This window comes from Homo sapiens, chromosome 7, assembly GCF_000001405.40.
Source record: "Homo sapiens chromosome 7, GRCh38.p14 Primary Assembly".
In the NCBI taxonomy this organism is placed as follows: Eukaryota; Metazoa; Chordata; class Mammalia; order Primates; family Hominidae; genus Homo; species Homo sapiens.
In genome coordinates this window covers 40675206-40701947 of record NC_000007.14, presented here as the reverse complement: position 1 = coordinate 40701947, position 26742 = coordinate 40675206, and the positions used below count along the sequence as shown (strand labels likewise).

Here is a 26742-nt window from a genome sequence, read left to right as displayed (position 1 = left end):
AGGGACAGAACCATGGCCTTGGAGCAAACCAGGGTCTCCTAATCTGAGGCTAAGTTTTTAGAGCATATCTCTCCTTCACTCACTGTCTGGCTCTAGGCCACATAAGAACTTCTTCCCCAACTCAGTTTCCTTAGTTGAAAGTAGGAGGAAGCCCCCACGTACCTACTTCACAGAGCTTTCCAGTGAAGTTTAGCAATTGGGGATGGCAGAGCATGTTACAATTTTAGAACTGCTCTAGAGATTCAACAGTGAAAATACACTAGCTAATTAAACAAAATTTGGTAGAAAGGAGAATTGGAAATTCACCTTCTATCAGTGCCCGAATGGCTGTGGATGAACAATTCCTTTAACTACTATGTATTTCTCTAGTTCCCACATAAACTCTGTCATTTCCCATGGGATCGCCTGGAAAATACTATGCATATACCCAGCATATCATCGTTTGTTGGGACACCTAGCAGCTACCTCTGAAAGGAGAGGGCTGGTCCTGGAAGCAGCCAGATGGCCCTGAAGAGGTAGCTTTGGTCCTCAGGCCTCCCAGTGCTGTAGGAGCGAAGCTGACGCCCACAGGGCCTCTGAACACTGGAATGGCGGATGAGCTCAGCTCTCTGAAGTGGCTGCCGTGGCTGAGATAGGAGTGCCCTGCCACACACACTTCCTAGAGGACAAGTTCAGCCAAAGCCACATTAAAAGATGGTTGCTTAATGTTGGCAGAACTTTTTAGGAGGCATCAAATGAGAGTGTGTGGGAGGGGGAGTGGGCATCAGTGTCATAAAATGACGAAGCCCAACAAACGTTTCCTGTCTTCACATTTAAAATCTCTGGAGGGGGAGGAAGCCAGCCTCAGAGGCCTGGGGCTTTCCTGAAGAAACTATAAAAGGAAAGAATGATAAAAGGAGCCAGGGTTTCAGCAGGACCACTACCAAGCAAAACAAAGAGCAGAGGAAAGAAGATCCCCTCTCAACTCCAACCCTTGCTTGTAATTTTCAGAATGGATTGGCTACAGGAAGCTACTTACAAGAGAGGGGAGGTTTGGTTTTGGTTCTGCGGTGGCTCTTCTCTCCTCAGTGAGTGACTGTGGGTCGCATCTAGTCTCCTCTTACTCCCACAATATAGATACATTTAAGAAGTCAAACAAGAATCAGTGGCTGCTTTTTGCACCACACACCGCCTACTGGCCTCTAACAAAATACACTACCTGCTCAGAAAGTATCCCTTGCCACCTGAACTCATGCTGTTGGAAATTAGGAAAAGAACAGGTTTGAACAGCAGCTGATACTTAGATATAAAACCACCGACATGGTCAATAAATATGTTTCTTCATTTTCCAGGACAGGGAAAAGTCATGCAGCATTTCCTCTGACATTTGTCAATTTTCAGTCACAACAAAAATACAAATAATTGATTTGAAAGCAGAGCAAATGAAATATTGTTCAAAATAAACAGCGTTGTTGCCCTATTTCTTTCTGGTTTCCAAGTCACTCAAACAAGAGTATATTGGGGAGGTTTCCCACTACAGAGTCCATGAATAAATTCAATGCTTAGATTTCTCATTTCATGATCACTTAAATCTTACAATGTAAGATTTCATGCAAGCAAGGCCTGGACAGACCCATGTCTTAGGAAGAAGCTAAGTTCTCCTGAATGCTTGAGGGATCTCCAGTCCTAAGATGGGACTGGAGATGTAAAGGCAGGCCCACTCAGTTAATGTATGCTCCACTGCACAATTTAAAACACAGGGTGTAAGGCAGTTTTTCAAAGAGGTTCCAAGCATCTTAAGAGTCCCAGAAATTGTATTTGACTCATGAAATTTAGAATTCTCCACCCACACTTATCAATGTCATCTTCCTCCTTGTCCTTGTTCCACCCTCCTCTGTAAATCAAGAGACACATGCAGCTGCCTACAGCAACCAAAAGATTTCTCCAATAAAGCAAATTCTACTAAAAGGGGAAAAAAGTTTCAGGAAGGCTCACAGAGATTAAGGGTTAAACCAAATAGCCTGGGTTCTGATTCTGATGCTGCCAACAATGAAATAATTAATGGCATTTATTTATTTTTTAACTTATTTTATACTTTATTTTATTTTTTTGAGATGGAGTCTCGCTCTGTCACCCAGGCTGGAGTGTAGTGGCTCACTGCAGCCTCCACCTCCCGGGTTCAAGCAATCCTCGTGCCTCAGCCTCCTGAGTAGCTGGGATTACAGATGTGCACCACCAGGCTCGGCTCATTTTTGTATTTTTAGTAGAGATGAGGTTTCACCGTATTGACCAGGCTGGTCTTGAACTCCTGGCCTCAAGCGATCCGCCCACCTCAGCCTCCCAAAGTGCTGGGATTACAGGCGTAAGCCACTGTGAGGGGCCTTAACAGCATTTAAACACCCTTTATATATTTCAAATTCATTAGCATTATGCAATTCATTCAACCTTTACAACATACCTCTGCAGGACACGGGGAGACTCATCACCCTTAGTTTACAAATGAGCAAGCCAACTCTAGGGTGGGTCTGTATAACCTGGCAGCATTCTCACTCAGTGTCCACTGCCATGTGGCCTGAGCTCCCTTTCTTCTCACGTCCCCACCTTGTCCCATCTGCACACACAAACCTACTCGCTCTCCACCTCTGTGCCCCTTAGCAGCTTGTTTCAACATACTGTGAGCTGCATCCCAGTTATTGATATATTTCTCAGTGTCCCCAAAGGCTAGAAACCTCACTGAGGGCAAGCATCACAGGAGCCCCATCTTTGATAGCCTGAGGACATGTTGCCATATCTTGAATGCAGTATGTGCTCCATAAATATTTGGCACATTGAACCAAACTGCATTAATCTCATATGAAATCGAAAACCAGGTGAATTCTGTGCCTCCCCCACCCTGTAACCTCTTGTTCCCAACCCTGACTCCCACCTATCAAAACCTACTCCCAGATCTTTCAAACACATAAAAGACTGTGTGATTGATAGAAACTTAAAATGTTACTCATCACAGTAGGTAATAAACTTGAATCTAAATGGATGTGGCTCTAATTTCTGGTATAGCCCGAAAGTCTTGGAATGATCTGGGAATGTCAGGGCCTTTTCAGCAGACCAGAAATCACATTTAGAACCCACTGGCCCTTGAGCCTATACCAAAATCGCAGGCATCCACAGTCACCCACCTCACTTCTCATCTATGAGTTGAAAAGTATGAGTCATAAACTGTTGGAAGTATTTTTAACTCACGAATTATGTGGATAGTAAAATGTAATGCTTCAACCCTAACTGGATACGAAGCCCAATCTTAGCAACCAATTAGACAAGGCTGACTTTGAAATCAAAGCAAATGACCAAAAGAAAAAAGTAAGCTATTTCAATAGACTGTGTTGATAGCCTGATATGTGTAAGTTGAGGCATCAGTGTAGTCTCCACAGCAAATGACAGGGTGTGGTCGCTTCTTCCTCTTGGATGCTGACCACAAGAGGATGTCTAACCCTAAGGGAGACAGCATCCTGAACTTGCTCTCTGCCCTGAGCCTGCACTCCAGTTACACAGGGTGAGGATTCTGCATTCCACCCTTGAAGAGTCCTGCAAGTCAGGGCAAGCCCCCTGTCCCTAGCAGCCTCCGTCTTTTTGAGTTACACTTTGGGCCACTAAGTCTGGCCCTGCCTACCTCTTCTGGCCTCACCCTCCCTAACCCCTCTAAGAGCCTGGATTGAGGCCACCTGAGACATTCACCTGCATTATGCAGATTACATAGATACCACCTTTACCTCTCCAAAGGCCTTCACATTGCTGTCACCTGGCCATGCCAGCCACTTGCAGGCTGCCATCTTACCATCTCTCCTCCATCTCCAGGACTTGCTTGTGCTATACTTTGCCTGCAGTGCCCATCTGAGCATCCCACTCATCCTTCAAGATTCAGCTCATTAACCTGGAAAGCCTTGACTGACTCTACCTGTCAGAATGTCTTCCTCTCTGTTTTCGAAAAATCTTGAGCACATATCAAGCACAGCATGTATCACATCAAATTGGAATGTCTGTTAACTTCTCTGCTGGGTATTCTCAAAGGTCCTGCACGTGGCTGGCACATTGCGAGCACTGAGGGGGAAAAGGCTTGTTGGCTGTCTGACTAGCTGAATGATTGAGCAATAAGGTGTAGTATGAGCCATCATCTCAGACCACGGTGAAGGAAAGGCCACAAATCTTTGAGATGTCCCTGTTCTCCAGTAGCTAACACACTGCCTGCTTGGGGCATGTTACCAGGTAGTTAAATGAAACTGAATCACACAATTCTCATCTTGACCATCTTTATTCATTCAGCCATCAACTTTTTTGAGATGGAGTCTCATTCTGTCACCCAGGCTGGAGTGCAGTGGCATGACCTTGGCTCACTGCAACCTCCGCCTCCCGGGTTCAAGTGAGTCTCCTGCCTCAGCCTCCTGAGTAGCTGGAATTACAGGCTCCTGCCACAACAATTGGCTAATTTTTGTTATTTTTTTAGTAGAGATGGGGTTTCACCACGTTGGCCAGGCTGGTCTCGAACTCCTGACCTCAAGTGATCCACCCACTTCAGCCTCCCAAAGTGCTGGGATTACAGGCATGAGCCACTGCACCTGGCCCAGCCATCAATTATTGAGCATCTACTACATACCTTCATTTCACTGGGCACTGTGAAAGCAATAAACCAGGTAAGTCAAGAGTCTAGAGTCTAAAGAAATAATAGACTTATAAACAGAAAAGAGTCATAGAGATCGGAATAAAATGCCAAGTACTTTTTGTAGGCAAGATGGGGAAGATTTAAACAGGGAGTTGAGTTTCAAGTAAGATTTTGAATAAGTATATGAATACACACTTTTTTGAGCCTTTTTGCTGTGTGTGTGTGTTACGTGTGAGTGTGTGTGTGTGCAATTGCTATCCGCTACTACCATACTATGCACAAAGTACCGCAGTGCAAATATTTATGCAAATGTTAATTACACACTAATTACACACTATAATCTAAAACTTCTCTTGGTTATTTTCTGCCAACACAATGTCCTTTGGCAGGTCTTTACCATTTTGGTTGTTTCTGGGTGACAGCTGTTTTCATATTCCACAGACCCTAGTTTGCCTTCCCTAGGCTGCTTACTCTCCTGAGTCCTGGAAATCTCTCGTGTTAATTATTATTTTTTCCAGCTGCAGTCATTGTAAACTGTAGTGTGCTTTCCCCTCATAGTAATAAATATTCATGTATTTATGAAGTAATGAAGAAAATGTCGCTGAGCATGAAAGAGTTGATGTCAACAGTCAGGAGAGAAAGAGACACAGAGTTAAAATCTACTAACATTCTCAAACATTCCTAGTGGCTCAACTGCTTCGGATGGAAGAGGCTGAAACTTGGAGTTTGGAGGTTCTGATAATGACTACAGGATGGGCAGGAAAACAAAGATATAAATTTGGCTAGTTTTGGCTTTGGGTGTCATTTCCATTTCATGACAGCACAGGGGTGAGAAGCATTTTGGAGCTTCTTCATATTATTTATTTATCCCTTGGAGACTGGCATAGTCTACTCACCCCAAACATAAGATGGGGCCTGGGTAGTGATGACTGGAGTTGCAGGCTGCACAGCTCCATTAGGAAATGAAAGTTTGCTTGCAGTAGGGTCTCCTAATCTGGACTTTTATGCCAAGCCTCTGACCTCAGACCTCCATTAAAAGGCATCTCCTGGCTCAGAAATGGCTAGGATAACGGCACAGGTATCAGTTTCCTTTTCTACAATTCGTGACTGATGGGTGACTGAGGATTAATGTAAAATCAGTTTAAGAGTGCTTTGAAATATTAACAGATAGTTGCTGGACATGGGTGCATACAGGTGTGCACACACAGTATACATGGCAGATGTCCACTAGACATATGCTATTAGACAGAAACGGGAAAAGAACTGTAGGATGGGTTGGTGGTATACAGTAGTAAGTAGACAAGCATTTTCTAATCAGAAAAGCCTTGTAGAACTAACTCTGCCATTTAGGACCTTAGAAAAGCTACTCAACCTCTCCAGACCTCAGTTTCATCATCTCCTTAACATAATGGTTCTTAACTCCATGAAGTTCCCTCCTCCAGGGACATCTGATAAGTCTGGAGACATTCTGATTGTCACAAACTAGAGTGAAGGGGTTCCTACCGGCATCTAGTGAGTAGAGGACAGGGAAACTGATAAACATCCTATAGTGCACAAGACAGCCCCCATAACGATTATTCTTAACCCAAAATGTCAGTAGTGCCAACACTAAAAAATTCTGTCTTAATGGAATACTAATAATTGTACCTGTCTGAAAAAAAGCCTTTGTAGCTCTCAGTAATATTTGCTATTGTAGTTATGATCATTGCCATTACGTTATCACATCCTGAAAAAGAACTCACATTAAAATTACAATATATTTCTAGGGATTGAATATTAAATTCTCCAAGAAACATGTTTGTATTTTAATAAGGGTTTGGGCTGGGCGCAGACTCATGTCTGTAATCCCAACACTTTGGGAGGCCGAGGCAGGCAGATCACTTGAGCCCATGAGCTCGAGACCAGCCTGGGCAACATGGCAAAACCTCATCTCTACAAAAAATACAAAAATTAGCCAGGCATGGTGGCACGTGCCTGTGGTCCCAGCTATGCAGGAGTCTGAGGTGGGAGGATCGCTTGAGCCCAGGGAGTCAAAGCTGCAGTGAGCCATGATCGCACCACTGCACTCCAGCATGAGCAGCAGAGACCCTGTCTCAAAATAAATAAATAAATAAATAAATAAATAAATAAATAAATAAATAAATAAAAATAAGGGTTTAGGTAGATAACATTAATGAAATAAATGATTAAAATGGTGAAAGTCTAAGGCATCTTAAGGCAATTCAGTATCTGGGCTATTTGGGTGCAGATGGCAATTGTAATACCCCTCAACAATGCCCCATAAGCACTCATCCTAAAAACAAGATTTACATCATAAAACAAAGGGGATAGCTGCACAAATGTGTCTGCTCTTCAAGCCAAAGTGACTACAGCTGAGCAGGTCACCAAGTGATACTGGTCTATCCAATCCCCCCAAAACATCTCTAGCCACTTGGTGTAAATTCTTTCAGTACTTCTAGAAGAAAGGTAGTCATTTCATCTCAGAAAGTTCAGAGCCATTTCCTAGCCATGATGTCTTTTTAAAAGAGGGATCTGACTACTGATGGCAAGAATTGTTTTATATCTTCTTCAGTTTGTTTAACAGGAAACAAACTGTTGAAAAGAGGACAAATTTGTATCTTTCTCATTGACTTAACCAGGGGCAAGGCTCTATTTAGCAACCAGCAAGAACAATGTAGAAATTGTTCACTAACAACGTGAATCACTTTCAGACAATCCCCACAAAATCTGGGATAAGTTAGGTGGAAGAGAGATAAATGATAGTATGTGGAAAATGTTATTTATGAATGTTAATAAAAATTTCTGCTGCAAAGGAAATACTAGAGACAAAACTGAAAAGGCTCGACATCAAGAATAAAGCTTATTCCAAGCTGATTCTGAGATGCAAAGAAGCTAAGGGCCAGCTCATTAAGTGCCAAGTTCAAGAAAGGGATGGCAGCCCAGAGCTATAGCTGGAGAAGTTCCTCTCCTCAGGGTTTTGCCAGGAGCCTGCTCACATGCTTTGCAAACCATCACAGTTATGTTAGGGCAGACCTGACATCCTTGCTGAACTTTCTCCATGTCAGCTTTTCGCACAACGGAAACAAGTTGGTAGGTTTAGGACTAAAGGCAATCTTCCTCATTCACACTTGGGGCCTTTGACAGAAACTTTCAAAACGGAAAACGAAAATAGAAGCCAGTCAAAATCAAGATCTCAAGTTTTACAACATCTAGAGATCCCTTTTAAGGACAATAGCTGATAAAACCAGAATAAACTTGAACTTCAGTGAAAATGCACTACAAGAAATATCTAGATACACATTGGCTGTGCAATGGATCCTGACATCTTTAATTTGTTTGATCTGTGGGAATGTTTTCCAAAAGAATGGTGAGAACACAGCAGGACGTTTTTCTGAGGGCGGGACAGTGTTTTGTGAGGTTGAAATGAAATTGTTTTAAATTAGTGATTGAAAGAAGTGTCTTCCCGTAGAACTTTCCCAGGTCATGGAAATAGCAAATATTTTAATTGTGTTCATGTAACTGGATTAGGGAAGAAATAAATACCAGCTAATGCACCAGTGAGGTAAGGTGAGCTTCCAAAATTCTAATACTGAGGAATACGCTGAACATCAGGTTGAAATAAAAAGTCAGGCTTTCTTGACTGGCTGATATTTATTTCATGATTATATCTTTTAGCAAATATGTCCAGGTGATTCATGCTCCTTCAGAGGCAGTATAGCACAGTAGCCAAATAGTGTTATCTCTGAAGCCTAAAAGCCTGGGTTCAAATCCCAGCTCTGAAACTAGTCATGTGACTTTAGGAAACTTACTTAACCTCTCTGGCCCTCAGCTTCTTCATCTGTTAAATGGGGATAATGATGGCACTACCTTATATGGTTACCGTTTCAAAAATTCAATGCATGAATGCATGTAAAGCATTTGGAATAGCACCTGAAAGTGTGCTATTAATTCTAGGTCTCATCTCATCTGCACACAGGCCCTGTGAGTTAAGTACCATCCATCATTCTCATCCACAAATAAGGAAAGGGAGGCTTTGCTAGGTCAATTAACTTGTCCAAGTTCACACAGCTCATAAGTGGTAGAGCCAGTACTTGAAAAACTTCTATCACGAGTTAAAGCCCAGGCTCATAATCACTCACAAAATAATGTACTGGGGGAAATGACTGTGAAGAGAAGAGTTGGTCTATTGTACTGCAGGAAACAATGGCTACTAGGGCGGAGATAAGGCACATTCTTAGTTTAAGAAGTAGCTCCTGATGACCCTCCAGGAGACATTCACAACTCCTTTCCTCTCTCCAAAGCCCGTATAGTAGAGATGAAGTAATATGATTTCAAAGATGACCCCTACTAGCTCAGTCAAACTAAACTTCCCTTAAACAGGTCATTTTCCTGACACTTAGCACAAAGCATGAATATCTCAAAGCTATTCTTCTTCCCCTTACTCAACCAATTCTCAAGAATGTGTCACTCTCATCACAACTGTGTGTCTCATTGGTAGAATGGGACCATGAACCCATTTCAGCTGGCTTCTAGGTGAAAGAAAACAGGCCTAGCAGGTTCTTGCTGAGTTTTTAAATGAAATTTAGAATTGGTGCCCGAGCCCTTTCTGTATCTATTTTGCTTCTGGAATCCTCTCTCCAGTACAACTATCCCGGTGTCCCAGGAAGCCAGGCTCTATGAACTGTTCCTGAGTTAGCCAAAGTGTGTGCTGCAGTAGTATATTCTACTCCATCATTAAATTTTACAGCTCTAATTTTCTCATCCAGTTTCACCTCCAGGAAGGCTCCCATTCTCTTAATACACAGTACGAGACCCTTTGCATCTTCACTGGCTGTACCACGGAAGTCCAAAAAATCAGGACTGTCAAGCTTTCAAATTTTGCTTCTGTTGTTCTTACTTCCTAAACCTGAAGTAGCTTCTTCATTTCCCTATTCTATGCCCCAATCCATTGTCCTCTTAACCTGGCAAAGTAATACCCTTATTCTCAGGGGAAGACTTAAATGTCCCACCTTCACTGTAGTTTTTATAGAACCGAGTATCTGCATTCCCTGCAAAACAGAATTGTTACCTTGTCTGCACCACTCAGTTGTTCATGATTCCCCCTAAGTACCACTACTATACCACTTATGGCAATGTATCAAGCCCTTTCTCTGCTCAGCATCTAGCATAGCCTTGAGACATAACAGACACAGAATAGGGTTTACTGAGACATTATTAACGAGTGACTAGGATAGGTGAGGCAGAGGTGATACAGCGAAACAGCACAATTTTTGGTATTAGAGACATCTAGTTCAAATTCTGGCTTTATCACCTCCTATGGCAAGACCTCCATGAACCTCTGTTTATCTATGAAATAGATCATTTCAATAAGAATCCAATGAGAAAGGGTTATAAATATTTTTGCTACATGGTGAGCACTTAACAAATTTTTGTGTCTCTTGAAATCTGCCCACATTTTCTTCTCTTTATATTCCTCCTTCCCCAAACTCCATGCCATTCCTCTCCCTAGAAAAGAAGAAGGCGGTTGTTGAAACTTTAGATAAAAAAGAATTCTAAGACAAGTTTTAGGTGAGTTCATCCAAGCAGACTCTAAGAAAGAAAGACATCCATTTGACTTTCCATTTGACTTGAATACTATAAATCTGATGTCAAAAAAGTTTCTAGTATGAAGATAAAGATAGGATTCTTAAGCCAAGACTTTAATAATTTCTGGCTGCCATCACTGAGTGGATATAGCAGGCTGTCTTGGTTTGGCTCCATTAAACTTTTGATATATCTAGCGTATATCTAACATATATCAAAAGTTTATATCTGATTCCACTCTCACCAGAAAGCTGGGCCTGACTTCTGGGAAGAATTATTGATCATGCTGATTTCAATTCTTTCTAAACCCCAATAGCTATGATAGCTCATGATCAGTAAGAAATATGGCTTCTGGGTATGATCCAGCTGTGAGGAGAAAAAGTTCTGTCTTATATCAGTACTAAAGGCAAAAAAAAAAAAAGTTTCTCACATAAATTAATCAAGTAGTTTTCAGGAGTCTACACAGTCTCATATACACTGTAGGTTCGTAAGAGAAAATATTGATTGACCTTGAGCCCAAAAACCATTTCTTGCATCTTCAAGTAGAGGGCCAGGTCACTCCAGGATTTCATGCAGCTCCACTTGTTTCCTGTTTCTATAGAATCCGTCTTCATTCTTTGAGATCCTTAGTTCTCCAACAGTAGGAAGACCCAATATCAGTTTTTCCTGAGTCTTCCTTTTCTATTCCAGAGGAAATATCAGACAGCCAAGTGCAAAAGGCCCAAGTATATTTCGTCCAGATGGGCTCTTGCCTTTTCCTCTGGAGAAGAACCAGACCTTGAGGGTGTCTGTCAGTGACTTCTAGTTACAACCTTTAGGTCCTCCTAAGATTTCAGCTCAAATGTTTATATGGATGGCCAGGTGTGGTGGCTCCTGCCTATATCTCAGCACTTTGGGAGGCTGAGGAGTGTGGATGGCTTGAGCCCAGGAATTCAAGATCAAACTGGGCAACATGGTGAAACCCCGTTTCTACAAAAAAATACAAAAATTAGTCAGGCAGTCAGGCATCTTGGCACGTGCCTGTAGTCCCAGCTACTCGGGAGGCTGAGGTGGGAAGATCATCTGAGCCGAGGAGGTCAGAGGTTGCAGTAAGCTGAGATCCAGCCACTGCACTACAGCCTGAGCGACAGAGTTTCACCTTGTCTCAAAAAAAAAAAATTATAGGGATGAATTGATCTCTCTATATCTTGCTATTCCATTAATATGACTTACAGCAAGAATTATGAGAAAGTAGTTTTTAAATAATTAACATATTAAGCATAATATACCTATTAATATAATTAATGTATTGGGCAATAATTAACATAATTAGGCATAGGGAAGAAGTAAGTGCTTACGAAAGATAATATTTGATTTATAGAGTACATCTAAAGGTAGCTAGAAGGTCTACTTAAGGTTCTAAAACGTTTTATAAATTGTTTTTTGAGCAGAAGTCTACTCATGTCACAAAAATATTCTTAATCATATATATAATGATATTGTGAATACAACAACTTTAAGGCAACAGTCCCAGACAACCAAATTGTAACCATTATGTTTACCATCTTGGCCCATATCCCAAGCTCCACATGTTTTCGGCATCCTTTTTGGACTCAACAATAAGGGGCTCAACTATGAAGACTCCTTTATGTTACTATTACAAATGCAAAGAGAACAAATCCATTTATGTAAATATGAATTTGAAATTCTTTGTAGTATGGTGACCATATGCATGGATTCTCAGAAAGCAAAAGCCAAATATTAATTTCCCATTCTGTGGAAGTACTTTAGGTTTCTGACATAGGGAACTGATCCTATTAAGTGGTAATTTACAGTGGCTACTTGTTGCTTACATGTGGAAAATCCATAGGGGTAAGTCATAGGAATTAGGGAAGAGAGTACCCTGAGTAAAATAATATGCACAGCTAATCCTTATGACTCACTCAATATCCTTCTCCCCAATCCCCCCACCCTTCAATCCATCCACCCCACCCCCTGCCACTCAATTAAGTGAAACTGTCCAGCCAGTTTGGCTGCTACAAGAATTTGAGTTGGAGCAAACAGACGTGGTCTGTTTATAAGAAATGGGCCTTTAGCCATGGTTTCATCTCATTTGCACCAGGATTCCACTAGAAGATTTTCTGTGTTGGCTATATGATGCCCTTCATATAGTGTGAAGGAAGTACAAGTCAGGAAAGAATTTTGTCCTTATGGAAGATCAGCAGGAGTAGAAAGCCTCTGTCTGAAATCTGAGAGGATTATGTTCCACTAAAGTTGCTAAATATTCTCATTGGAAAATTACCCACGATAATCCTCTTGAAAGTGACATTCTAAACAAACTATGGTCTTTCTGCTTTGCTTGGAAATCTATGATTTTCTTAAAAAATTCAGACATAAAAAAGGTAAAAAAGATTGCCTTTGTGATATTTTTATTTTCCCCAGAATTTGGGGGCTCATTGCTTGCTATCCACTGGACACCTAAGTCTTCTCTAGAACAACAAGATGTCTGCTCCACCCAAGGCTACCTTTTCTATTACTTGACAGGCTAAAAATTAGTAAACACACAGGCAAAAATGAAGGGCAATGTGAATTGGAACACGTAGTGGTTTGCAGCTTTCTGAACATGTCTTAACCTACAAGAAGCTTTTAAAGAAACTTTAAGTTGGGTCTGCCTCAGAAAAATAAGTCTCTCCTTTTCCTTCCTTCCTTGATAAACTGAACCAGCAATAGTCAATGTAAAACCTACCATATTTGCTCCACTCCACAGTCCTTTAAGTTAGCCTTTACACACATCCATTTCTTTTCAGAATTCAGTAGTGTGATGGGGTAAAGATTTAGAATCTGTACTCTCTCCAAAATTTTTTTTTAAAATATGAACAGAGAATTTAAATACTTAATTTTACCTACAAATATGCTACTTTTAATTTAATTTAGTAATTTATATCATGTGCTTGTGTAAATTATTTTTTCTAACTCAAAAAGAATATAATTTCAGTACAAGAAATGTGTAACATGCAGAGAAACATTTTTCAAAAGGGGAAAGTTAGCCCTAACTTTTACACCACAATCTCATTCCAAACACTATTAGTGTTAAGACTTGAGTGTATTTCCTTTGAAATTTTTTATTTTTCATATTGTCTTTAATATAACAGTGACCAACATGTGCTAGAAATTTTGTAACTTATCTTCTTTTAAATATTATATATATATTTTAGTGGTCTGATGACAAATCTGTAATTCAGATACAACTGCTTAGAGGCTTTGGGAGTTGTTTTTAAATTTTTACTATTACATGGTATCTTAGCGACAAATATAATTTCAAGACAAATAGAAGTGCCATGGCAACTATTCCAGTGACTGGGTACAAGACTTGGATTGTAATTTCTTGGGGCAAACGTGAATTCAGAAGCAAAATTCCTATCATGAAACATCTCACTTTAAATTTCTGGTAACAGAGACACCCTTTTCTGAATGTGCTGATCCAGGAATCTGTGTAACAGAGAAAGACTGGGTCTCCAATGGCTTCAACTGCAACATTGTCACATGGAAGAAAGTTGAAGCTGTTGGGCCAAGACTGATTGTGCCATGGCAGTCCCGAGGTCTCTGCTTATCAAAGGACTAATAATTACTGACCATTGCATTAAGAATACTATTGAGATTATAGATTTGTATAAGAGTTTCCAAATTAAGTCTTAGCATCTTGAATATTCAATAAAAACTGTTGAAGGATGAAGAGTTCCAAATTAACAAACTGCTTCCATGGTAAATAAACTGGTGGCTAAAAATATTGGGGGGCCCTGTAATTCCAAATACACACAAAAGAAATGGACAAAAATAAATTATCTCCACCATTTCCAAGTATAGCCACCGCCTCTCTGCTTCAAGCTTGCTCACTCATAGAACCTGGAAGCCTTCACAGAAGCCTGGTGAAGGAGTTCCTAAGAAGCTTGCCATAAGTCTTCTGAAGTATGTATGGGTGTAGGTGGCACAAATTAAAAATAGAGGCTAGTGCTTGCTTCTCATCTAGAGATTACTGAGGAACTGAGATCTGTTGGATCAGCTCATGCCAATAGGACATGAAGGGGCTATAACGGTATGGTGTTTGTGGGAAGAAAAATTGCGGGTATAACCATTCCAGTTCTCTACGAAATTTTGAGGGTGGAAAGAACTCAGTGGTTCCTCAGCTCCTCATAAAGGAACACAGAGGTTGGAGGGGATATGGGAGCTGTGGGGCCACCAAATGGCCATTAGAAAAAGGTAGAAGGGACTAGACCATCAACTACTGATGCAGCTAAAAAATAATTAATCTGCCACTCTCTGGGAGGGAGCTGGAGTAAAATTGAAAGTCTCCTCAAGAAATCACAACTACTACATCAACAGAGTCCACCAGTGTCAGAGAAAAGGAGACAAAACTCAAAACAAGAATTTCTGCTTAAATGTCTGCTTCCTCCCTGTCCCCTTCTGCCAATGAAGCTAGCCCTTGCTTGGAGAGTGACAATTAGATGTGGTAGGTTGAACACAGTGTTTATTACTCTTCCCTCATAATTCTCCACCAAAATGACAGTAGAGAATTTTTTTTTCAAGAACAAACCTAGAAGGGCAAAGAGAAGAGGAGTAGAAACAACAGATGATGATAGATGGTAACAACATTTTACAGGCTGAAAATGCAGTGGATAAGCAGTAATCAACTTAGAAGATGGGAAAAAAATGAAATTGTGGGTTGGGGGTGAGGGCAGTGAGAAAGAAGCCAGTTCAAACATGTGAATCCTGGGACTGGAGTAACCTGAGGAAGGTGGGTGTGCAGGGTAACACTGAAAACATGAGCATCGGCTTAAAGTTTGTAAATAGGTGATTGCCCCTCCCCCAGCTTCTAGAGGTTTTGAACATAGAAGCTGTAGATTTTGTAACACCATCCACAGCTGGGAACAAAAGTGATATTCCATGCAGAAAACCAGACAATTAACTGAAAATTCACATGCCAAATTTGACATTCCCTATCCTCCTTCCCTGACTGAGCTCCTAGAACAAAGACAATCAGGTTTAAACCCCACAGGCAGAGATGTGTAGAGTTTCCCTCTAGAGAACTGAACAGACCAAGAGAATGGATGTGTAGATGCTGATATTTGGGGTCCTTCAATGAAAAAGCCCGCTTACCATCTTATCTGCTTCCACTCAAGAAGCTGTCAGTCGTCAAATCCTACTCACACATACAAAGCTCCCAGTCAGCTTATCAATGCCACGCTCTGAAATATCAATAGTTAATGCTGTCTTTCTGTGTGTCAAGCACCATTCTAAGCATATTTTAATTTTTATGCAAATTAACTTCTTTATATATATAGATTAATGTTTTTCATATATACACATAAACTTAATTACCACTTTATACCAGTTTTAGAAGTACCATTACTATTCTCATTTTTTCAGTAAGGAAAGTAAAGTACATAAAGGTCAAGTAACTTGCTCAAGGTCACAAGCTACTAAGTAGTATGGCCAGTTTCACAGTCTTTTGGTTTTTATCCAGAGCTCATGCTTCTAACCTGTACATCTTACTGCCTCAAACATGACAAAGTGAAGCAAAAAAAGGGAAACAATGGAACAGGAAACCAGGAACCAGAAGAAAAGTATAACCAACTGTACCACATTTACTCAGGTAAAATATTACAATCATAAAAAAATAAAAACAGGATGCTCTTTCATTCAGAGAACGAGAGTGTGAATGCAGACAATTGGATAGATGAGCTATAAAATAGAATTACAGAACTAAAAGAGATAGAAAACTAGGATGATCTATCTAGAAAGTAACAACAGATTGAGCTGTGGTATGAAATTCTCAAAGAATTAATATAAGAAAACTTCCAAATTGCTTGAATTTTTTTCAATAGAGATGGGGTCTTGCTATGTTGGCCAGGCTGGTCTCAAACTTCTGACCTCAAGGGATCTTCCCACCTTGGTTGCACAAAGTGCTGAGATTACAGGCATGCGCCATGCGTGCGGCCTAAAACTTATGTGTAAATGAGTCAAAGAATAACCAACTAGCACAAGGTTGGACAAAAGATCTACACTAAAACATATTACTGAGAAATAGTCACCAGATATTAAAAGATTATTTTTAAAGTTTCTAGACGGGAAAAAAATCCACAATCAAAAGATGAAGAATTAGAATGGGATGAGGCATGCAACAGCAACTCTGAAGGTAGAATAGGACTGGCATCTGGCCGATTACCAATCAAAGATAAAGATGGGATAAAGATGCATGCAAAATCTCCACAAAATTATATCCTATGTATCTTTTTCCAATAGGAAAACAGGGTTCTAGAAAATGGTCCCAAGTTGATGGTGAGAGGACAATTCAGGAAGACAGTCAAACAGCAACGTCTATAGAGAATTAATCCACATCAGAAGACAGGATAGAGGGCTCCAAGAGGAATATCTTTAGGTAGATTATAATTTGTAAATTTCTTGATTTTTAAATATTGTATCACACAGTTTTACAACTCCAGCAGAGAATTTAGGTCTGAATTACTAGAACAAACACAGAAAATTAAGCAGTGTATGAATGAAGTCAAAATTGTTAAATTCAGGAAAATACTCATAAGAGCCAGGTGTGGTGGCTCACACCTGTAATCCCAGCACTTTGGGAGGCCAAGGCAGGTGGACCACTTAAGGTCAGGAGTTTGAGACCAGCCTGACCAACATGGTAAAACTCCATCTCTACTGAAAAAAAATAAAAATAAAAAAATAAACACACACAAAAATTATCCAGGCACAATGGCACATGCCTGTAGTCCCAGCTACTTGGGAGGCTAAGAGAGGAGAATTGCTTGAACCCAGGAGGCGGAGGTTGCAGTGAGCCAAGATCACACCACTGCACTCCAGCCTGGGCAACACAGCAGGATTCTGTCTCAACAACAAAAACAACCACGAAAACTCATAAAACACTATGTGTCTCAACCATGAGAAACATTTACATACTCATGGTAATGTAAATATTAGCTACTTATTTAACCAAAATAGTGATATAAGATTATATTGGGAAGGGAGAGAGAGAAGCAGGTTGTGAGTTGTGTAGAAAATGGAACAAGAGAGCTAAATCCTCATTGTCCATGGAACAGAATAAATGTCTAAAATTCAAAAAATATTAGGAAATGGTATTAACTGTATTATTTAGAAACCTAGATATAATTAGCTGAATAAATAACTTTCAGAGTTTTCCAGAGACGAGAATCTGAAGACGAGAGGTGGCACAAGGTTATGCTGTTTTTCATTATAAATCTATCCATACTACTTGTTTCTTCAAACCATATGTATGAATTACTTTGATTAAAATGTTTTAAAAAATTACAAGGAAGGCTTTTTAAAGAGAGGGTAGAGTCTCAGAAATGGAATCTAAGTAAAATGGAATGCCTCTTTGCATCTCTGTCCATTAAACAACACCATGACTATGGCAGAGAGAATAATGGCTCCCCAAAGATGCTATGTCCTAATCCCTGAAACCTGTGATGTAAATGAATAAGTATGGATGTAATTAAGGTCACAAACCTTGATATGGAGAAATTATCCTGGATTATCCTTTCCTGGCTGCAGGAAGTGAGATGTAGTAAGAGAAGGGCTCAACTCACCCTTGCTGATCCTTGAAGATGAAGGAAGGGGCCATGGGCCAAGGAATGCAGCAGGCTTTGGAAGCCAGAGACAGCGTTCTATTGACAACCAGCAAAGAAAACAGAGACCTCAGTCATACAACCACAAGGATTTGAATTCTGCCAGTAACACACATGATCAAGGAAATGGCTTTTCCCCCAAAACCTCCAGAAAGGAATACATCTGCCAGCACCTTGATTTTAGCCTGGTGAGACCTATGTGAGACTTCTGACCTACAAAACTGTTAGATAATACATTTGTTTTGTTTAAAGCCATGACATTTCTGGAACTTTGTGATGGCAATAATAGAGAACTAATATAGACTGCCAAATCCCAAGCCATTTCACGCAGTTACCTACTTAAGTGACAACGTCTGAGAGTGAATGTTGACACTTAATATGCTCAATAAACACATGAACTTAAAATTCACTGCAGAGATTGTCTCATCTTCTCAACATAATTGACAAGGGTCAACTGAGAGTCAAGCAATGGAGTATCCATCTTGCCATCACAGGCTGATCAGTAGTTTTTAGCACAGCCAAGAAGTCTGAAGATTCCCACAGTGGGAAAGGGAACTTCAAACAACCAAATTTCTTCCACGTTCTTCCACTGGAGCCATTTCTCAAATGTGTCCAAGCCAGTGGGATGTGTTTATGATGGAATTTAAATATTTATAAGCACCCAAGATAAAAAAGCACAAGCTCAGACTTCAGAAGCCTGCCCTGAAGAAAGGAAGGGGGTGGTCTTGAGCACAGGTGGAAAAACTAACCTACTCTCACAGCCCTCTGAGAAGCGACATTTGCAGAAGTTTCAGGGCTACACAGGCTTTAACAAAAGATGTTGTCCTTCACTTCAACCTGACAGCCAGCAAATCAGGAAAATCGCCCTGATCACTTTCTTAACTAGAACATCAAAGCCTCTTGGAATTAATTAATAAAGAATAACTGAGAAATTGTCTTTATTAAAATTTCTATTTACAGAAAAAAGTCAGGTTACTTTTTTTTTAAGCAGAAAAGTCATCTAAAGTAAATTTTAAAAGGATAATTTACTGATATAAAGTGAGAAAAGTAAATTGACAAATTAAAAAAATGCAAAGGAATCCTATTTCACTACTGACAGGGCACAAATTCCAAAAGTTGTGAAAGAACAGCAACAAAAATGGAAGTAACCTTTTCCATGTTCACAATACATACTGACCTTTCATTTTCAAACATATCTTTTCCTTTGGGAGACACCAAAAATGTAGAATGGAATGAGATAAATATAACTTAGATCCACATTCACAAAACAGAAAAAGAATAATGACTCTGTTCAAGCTATGTAAATCAAACAAAAACTTAACTCTTCTCCTTCTTCCCAGAGAAAGTAGGTGGATTTTTTTGGGGGGTGGGGAGGGGATGGGAGGGAGTCAGTTTTCTATGAAACCTTAATAGACATAGAAAAAAAACAAAGTGTTTTTCTTACTCTCACACACCAGTAAATACAATACTTCTGACACCAGATGTGTGAGGATTTCTCCCCATACACCAAGCAATGAGTTCTCCAGCGGACATCAACTGAGTGCTCTGTAATTCTACTCAGTGCTGACATTATCTACCTGGAGACAGCAGCAGATCACACGGATTAAAGCTCAGTCCCACAATACTGCTTCCCACTTCAGATGCCAGTCACAAGCCCCAGGTTGTGACCTGTGCTTCTGACTGACTGGCTATAAATCAAGATTCCTGGTCCCCCTTCTTGGGTTTGATTAATTTGCTTGAGCAGCTCAGAGAAGTCTGGTAAATACTGCTCACATTTACTGTTTATTACAAAGGATACTACAAAGGATACAAATGAGCAGCCAGATGAAAGAGATGTATAGGGTGGGGAATGGGAGAAGGGACACAGAGCTTCCATGCCCTTTCCAGGCTGAGATGGAGCAGGGACCCCTCTTTTAGCAGGCTGTGGGGAACCCCGAAGCATGGAAATAAAGGAAAATCCTGAGCTCCTTCAAGGGAAATTCCAGGCACCTAGCTAGCCTTGAGAAGTAAATGAGCAACTTAATAAGCAAAAAGGTAATAGTAGTCTAAAACAACAGCCAAGGAAGTTAGTCAAAACAATGTTTGGTTCTCTATAGAAACTCAAGATATCTTCACATGCACCCCTGACTTGTTTTTCAGAAACCCAGACCCCCACCAAACAGATCTGCCTACTCGAAAAACTGAGGACTGAACTCTGACCACTGTTCTCTATTCCAAATTTCTTCCTGAGGGCCTGAAGGAAGTCATGCCCATGAGCTAGAGCTAATATTATTTTCTGCTGATCCCCAATTTTAAACAAAGCTTCATGTCCTGAACCAGCCACAAATGAGAAAAGCTTTGAATCCACCTCTGGCCTGTGGGTCCCCTACTTCAAGAGGTCCTGCCTTTTGAGGTCAAACCAATGTATATGGTCCATGTTTTGATTTATGAGTTTGCCTGTAACTTCTGCTTTCCTGAAATTTGTGCCTGCCTTTAAAAACCCTTACCTGCAAGCCATTGAGGAGTTCAGGAGAGAAAGAAGCATCAGCTGCCCTGATTTGCCTTGCTTAGAGCTCTGCCAATAAATGCCTTCCTTTCTACTCCTGCAAAACCTCGGTGTGGTATCTGGTCTTACTGTACGGAGAAAGTGGGCCCCAGTTGGGTTCTATAACAAAGCGTGCCACTCTCCTGGAACCTCTACCCATTAAGCTATCTGAAAACTCATCTGAACCTTGTTTTGGGTTTTTATGGAGGCTTCATTACATTAACATAATTGATTAAATCATTGGGCACTGGTGATTAGCTCAACCTTCAGCGCCTCTGCCCTCCCTGAAGCTTGGGGAAGTGGGGCTGAAAGTTCCAACCCTCTAATTAGGCTTTGGTTTTTCTGGTAACCAAACTCATTCTAAACTGTATAGGGGCTGCCAATCACTACTATCTAATGAGTCATGCTGTCTCATTAGCATAAAAAAGACACACTAATCACTGGAGATTCCGGCTTTTAGGGTTTTCTTTAGAGAAAGACTAAATGTCCTATATATTTCACGATATCACAAACCCCATGGTTCCCAGTATCTGAGGTGTATTATAAATGAGGATCAGGATGTTTTGAAGTTAATATTCCAGAGGAAGTCTTCAGTTGTCCATTGCTAGTGGAAACATGCTCGCACTTACAATTTTGTTCAGGTTTAAAGTGCATGAATTTTCCTAATGTTAAGTGTGGACATGGTGCTTCATCTCATTACTCATGACTGCCCCTAGAGCCTCACCTACTGTACTACTACTTTAGAAGACTGCCAACCCCAGGTAGAATGATCATGACTACATTGGCCACACATGCCTGATTTGCATATGGTAACTATGGTCACCATAATCAAAGGGAGCATAGAAAATGCAGAATAGGGGATATGTGATTCCCAGTTATAAATTTCATAATTTCCTCCAGATTAGGATTGTACCAATGTAAAATATGAGATTTTTTTCCTCCTGTAAAACTTCATGGAACAAGTAGTTATATCCTTGGGTGGGGAGGTGAGTAGAGTATAATTACCTTTTGACAAGAGAATGCACCCTGGGACTTTCAAGGCACAGTCTTCAGGCCTTTTATTTTTCTTTTACTTCTTTTGTGGGTGTGTAATCCTTTCTTAAACATTTGGTCTACACATGGATAGACCTGTGATTTTAAATGGCCTAATGAGCCTCAGACAGACTTCTAAGTAACACTCATGAATAAGCCAAAGAGAGATTCTCAGATGCTAACATTTATTGTACTGAGATTTTTTTGTTTCTATTTGCTGAATTTTTGCCTCTTTTAAAAAGTTAGCACTTATTGAACATAATATATCCTGAATCTTTTGCAGGTGTTAAACAGCTGACTTCGATTTTTTAAAAGAAATCCATCTATTACCAAACCAAAAAGTTAAAAACAAGCTCTATTTATTTAGGTGATTCTGATAGTAAATCCTTCCTCCCTATTCTGCCTGAGAAAAAGGATTGCATTTCTCTGCAAAATAAACCTTCTGTGAAGATTAAGATATGACCTTTTGTGGACTTGTTCCTTAAAAAGCTGAAGGGTCCAAAATATGACATTACATTTTCTTTCATCTAACCATTTAATTTAGGATGGAGGGCCATGCATTAGCAACAATGCCTTAAAAAAATCAAACAGCATATCTTTCTATATCATGACACAAATGCTGCAGTATGGTAAGTAGCTTTCAGTTAAGGTATTGTGTAGACTGGATATGAAATTCTCATCATGAGAGAATACTGGTGTGAATAAGAGGATCAATCACAGGATAGCAAATGAGATCTGGAAAAGGGAGGAGGATTTTAATAAAGACAAACTAAATTTTAGTTCCTGAGCAATTTAGCCTTGGACTCAGGACTCTACCTTCTACATGTGGGCTTTTTTAATCATAAATTTTCCAATGTTAATGGAATATCACTATTTTATCAACTAGCTCTCTTCTATTGTCCATGCCAGAAAAGGTATTCTCTGCATCCAGCCAGCAGAACAGCAGCAAAGTGGGAAAGGTTGTCTAGAGTACTATTTATTATAAATAGAGGCTCTTGACTTCATTCAAGAGACTGGCATAAATGAGGGGAGTTGTTTCTGGTAGGATGCAAACTTGCCTAGTCAGAGAGAGGTTGTCATGAGATTGTAGCCTTAAGACACTCCAGCATAGATCAGTAATGTATCTGCAAGTGTTCATTTTAATGTACACCTTTGAGCTGGTCATCTGTTCTTATCAGGGATACACACTCCAGGAATGGTGGGCTAGCATGGAAAAAATCTTAAACAAAAGGCCAACTCCAGATACAGTTTTCACAAGATAGCTTTCAGCTATCTTCAAGATTGATAAACACTAGGGGCCTTGTTCTTCAGCATAATGGATATTAGAAATGCTCCTTTCTCAGTGAATTTAGTGTCAAGATATGTGAACTGGGTAGACATACTACAGAGACGTTTGTACCTTCACATAAAAGAGAATGAGGCATAAGAATATGGGAAGCCCAATGGCCTGAACCCTTCAGAAGGGTGGCCTGGGCTCTGCAAAGTACTCTTATGTCTAGTCTCTGATTTGAATAATTCTTGGTCACCACTATCTTGAACTATAGGTGGCTACCAAAGTCAACCAGAAGGAACTTCAAAATTATGAGCTGAAGTGGCTAAGTTTTCTATTTATTTATTTATTTGCCACGGGTTTCTTTGTTTGTTGTTTGCTTTTAATAACACTTCGCAATAGTAGTGAAAGGACTGTTCTAAAAGCCCAGGGCAAACAAACCAAATTGGTTACAGTGTGAGATTCACTGAATCAAATTACCTATATTTTCTTCATGTAGGAAAAAATATCTGCCCTAAAGCACAAAACTGTATTCAAAATGTTACAGTTCCTTGCCCTTATGTCTCATCTAGATATACTATATGAATAGTTCACTACTGGAAAAACAATTCATACCATTCATTCTATGTTATTATAGTGGAATTTTGCTTATGATTTTGTTAAAAATCACTCAGTGATGTCTGGCTTATTTATTTATTTATTTTTGGGTTCCAACAAATTTGCCCAGGAAGGGAAAGTATGAATTGCCATTCACACCCCACTGTGTACTCTTTTCTTTCTTTTGGTGGCTGGGTAGTTCAGAGGGATTTTTCTGGTGAAAAAGGGAAGTATGGGTAATTGTTTTTTGACAACTAAAAATAGCTTTAGATCAAGGATCTTCTTCCTTCATCATATATTCACTCATTCCTGCTCATGGACAGGGAGCATGAAAAGCTGTAAAAATGTTACTATGAGTGCAAAAAACCAATGCCGAGTGAGAGAGGAGATAAAATAGGAGCAGCACCTTAGATCTTTGCTGCTATGGTAGCCAGTCTCCACGACGGCAACCAATGATCCTTGCTTCCTACTAGCTATGCCTTTGATGTCCCTCTATACTGAACAGGGATGACCTCTGTTTTCAATAAAATACTGCAGAAGTAAGGATGTCTGACCTCTGAGAACAGGTCATAAAAGGTATTACAGCTTCTGCTTTGATATCTTGAATCATTTTCTCTGGAGGAAGCCAGCGGCTGTGCCCTGTGGAGAGGTTTACTGGGGAGAAACTGAAGCTGACCACTAATAGCCAGGTCAAGCTGGCCAGCCATGTCCCTGGGCCACTTTGGAAGCAGCACCTGCAACCCCAGTCCAAACCTTCAGATGAGTGCAGCCCAGGCCAACATGTAACAGTCAAGATCACCCAAGATTGCTTCTGAATTTCAGACCCACAGAAACTGTGAAAAATAAGAAACACTTATTTTGTTTAAAGCCACTACATTTGGGGGTATATTATGTAGCAATAGATACAGCTACTAACCCAACGTCATTTCCAACCCCATTCTCTTTTGACTGACTCCTGCTATAGAGATCTTTTAAAAGCAAGATATGAACGTTCTTATTAGCCTCTCTTGTAGCCAGAAGTGGGCATGGAACTCGTTCTGACCAGTGAGACATAAACAGGAGTCTACTGAGGAAGCTGTCTTATAAAAGGAGCAGGTAGAAAGAGAGTTCATCACACAGCACCTTCCTCCCAGTTTCTGCTATGAACATGATGTCTGGGGTTGAGGTAGCTATCTTACAGCAGGGATGTGACATGCATGAGGGTGAAAAGCTGACAGCAGAGGATTGTGGAATGAAAACAAGCAAACAGCTCAGGTCCCTTATGACACTGTTGGGTAAGTAAATTAATGTTGGCAACTTCCTACCACTTTGGTGAGTGATTAAAATAAACCCTGTTTTTATACCACTGTTAGCTAAGTGTTCTATCACTTACGGCTGACAGAACTCCTCATTTTTTGAACCAAGAAGGGGTGCTTTAGAGAACACGTCCTAAAATGTAGAGTTGGCCGAATGAAAGAGATAGGACATCTGGCTGTGAGGTTCCAACTCTTTCTGTTTGGAAACAGGATTACCTTTATTATGCAGTGGTGAAACATTTGTTATAACTGTTGCCTGTTGGGATGCAGGCTGTGCAATGATAAAAGCTGTAGAGTTAGAGGTAAATGTGAAAACACTGATTGGGCCAGCTTATTTTTCCATACATACGTTTCGGAACATTTAGAAAACTCACATGGGAGGTGAATGACTTATGTGGGCACTTCATGGCATGGCATGTTAGAGTATGACCCTTTATACACCACACACACACACACACACACACACACACACACACACACACGTCATTCTGAAAGTTTGCATTTGTATGTTTGGTTTTTATAACAATTTTTGTGTGAAGAAACAAAATAGTAAACTTCAAAACACAAGGGAATAGGCCAGGCGTGGTGGCTCATGCCTGTAATCTCAGCACTTTGGGAGGCCAAGGTGGGAGGATCACCTGACGTCAGGAGTTCGAGACCACTCTGGCCAACATGGTGAAACCCCGTCTCTACTAAAAATACAAAAATTAGCCCAGTGTGGTGGTGCATGCCTGTAATCCCAGCTACTCAGGAGGCTGAGGCAGGAGAATCGCTTGAACCCGGGAGGCGGAAGTTGCAGTGAGCCAAGATTTTGCCACTGCACTCCAGCCCGGGCAACAGAGTGAGGCTCCATCTCAAAAAAAAAAAAAAAACAAAAAACAAAACCGCAAGGGATTTTTCTCCTTGGTGTGTCTCTGCTTCGATGAGTAACACCCAAGTAAACATTATGCAGGATCTGGTATATACTTTTCCTATTTAGCCCATGAATTGAAAACATATATTGGCAAAAGATCAAGATGCAAGATCTCATAAAACATATTTCACTTGTTGCCCTGATGATAAAGTAATAATTGTTAGAAAAGTAATAGTAGCCATATTTCAATTCTATACTGTTTCCAAGCATACTCTATATGCTATTTTATCTAAATTTAACAATAACTCCATGAAGTAAGTTTTTTAATCAGTCCCTTTGCTAGATGAGAAGACTGATGATGCTTACAAAGTAAGCCTAGCACTGTTCAGTCCAGAGCTTTTGGTCATATCATTATGTGTCAATGCCTCCTGTTTCCGGCTCCCACATCTCCCCAACCCCATCCAAATCTAATCAATTACCAGCTACTGTTAATTATATATTTGGTATTACTCATTTTTATCTGCTTTCCAGATGTGACTAGCCTCAGCCACCTCACTGGTCTCCCTGACTCCTCTCCAATCTGACTGCGGCCACAGACATCTTTCTTGTCTATACTTGTTCATATTTCTCCACTGTTGTTCAAAGAATTACATCAAAACTCCTTGACATGATACTTCTGAATTGTGTCACTTACCCCTTCCTTGCTTTCCAGCCCCATCTCCCAGCAGTCCTCTCCATTCTGACACCTCTGTCTCCGAACTCTTACTGCTCATTCTGTGTTTGATCCATATTGGATGTCTCCCCGTTCCTGATGCTTTTCCAGCTCCAGGCATTTGCAGCCGAAAGCACCTCTGCATGGAGCAATTTCCCTGACTCTTTTTGCCCAACTCCCATACCTCCTTCATCTTAGACATCACTTCTGACCCCCAGCTGTAGCTTAAGTGGCCTCACTAGACGTTTCTTTTAGCACGATGTGCTTCTATTAATCCAGGCCTCAGTGTTGTGCTTTTGTCTCTCTCTGAGCCTAGCATAACTAAACTTGCACAGTTAACTACTCATTCTCCTTCTAAAACACACCACATTTTCTACACATACAAATATATATGCATATAGGCAACATATATTTTATACATATGTGATTACACATTAGAAGATTTGAGAAATTGGTCAGGCGTGGTGACTCACGCCTGTAACCCCAGCACTTCGGGAGGCCGAGGCGGGCAGATCACCTGAGGTCAGGAGTTTGAGACTAGACTGGCCAACATGGAAACCCCGTCTCTACTAAAAATACAAAAATTAGCTGGGCATAGTGGCACGT

At 40.4% G+C, this 26742-nt stretch overlaps 1 protein-coding gene across 17 annotated transcripts in view; it reads right to left on the bottom strand.

Moving 5' to 3' along the window:
- Positions 1 to 26742, bottom strand: part of SUGCT (succinyl-CoA:glutarate-CoA transferase) — a 903812-nt gene that overhangs the window by 336869 nt on the left and 540201 nt on the right. For 9 of the 17 annotated variants that reach the window (XM_047420840.1, XM_011515525.4, NM_001193311.2 and 6 more), the window contains one exon: positions 17815 to 17892. The exons of the other annotated variants lie outside the window; for them this stretch is intronic. In XM_047420840.1, coding sequence (XP_047276796.1) covers positions 17815 to 17892 — 78 coding nt within the window. The remainder of the gene's footprint in view (positions 1 to 17814; positions 17893 to 26742) is intronic. 17 annotated transcript variants of the gene reach the window in all.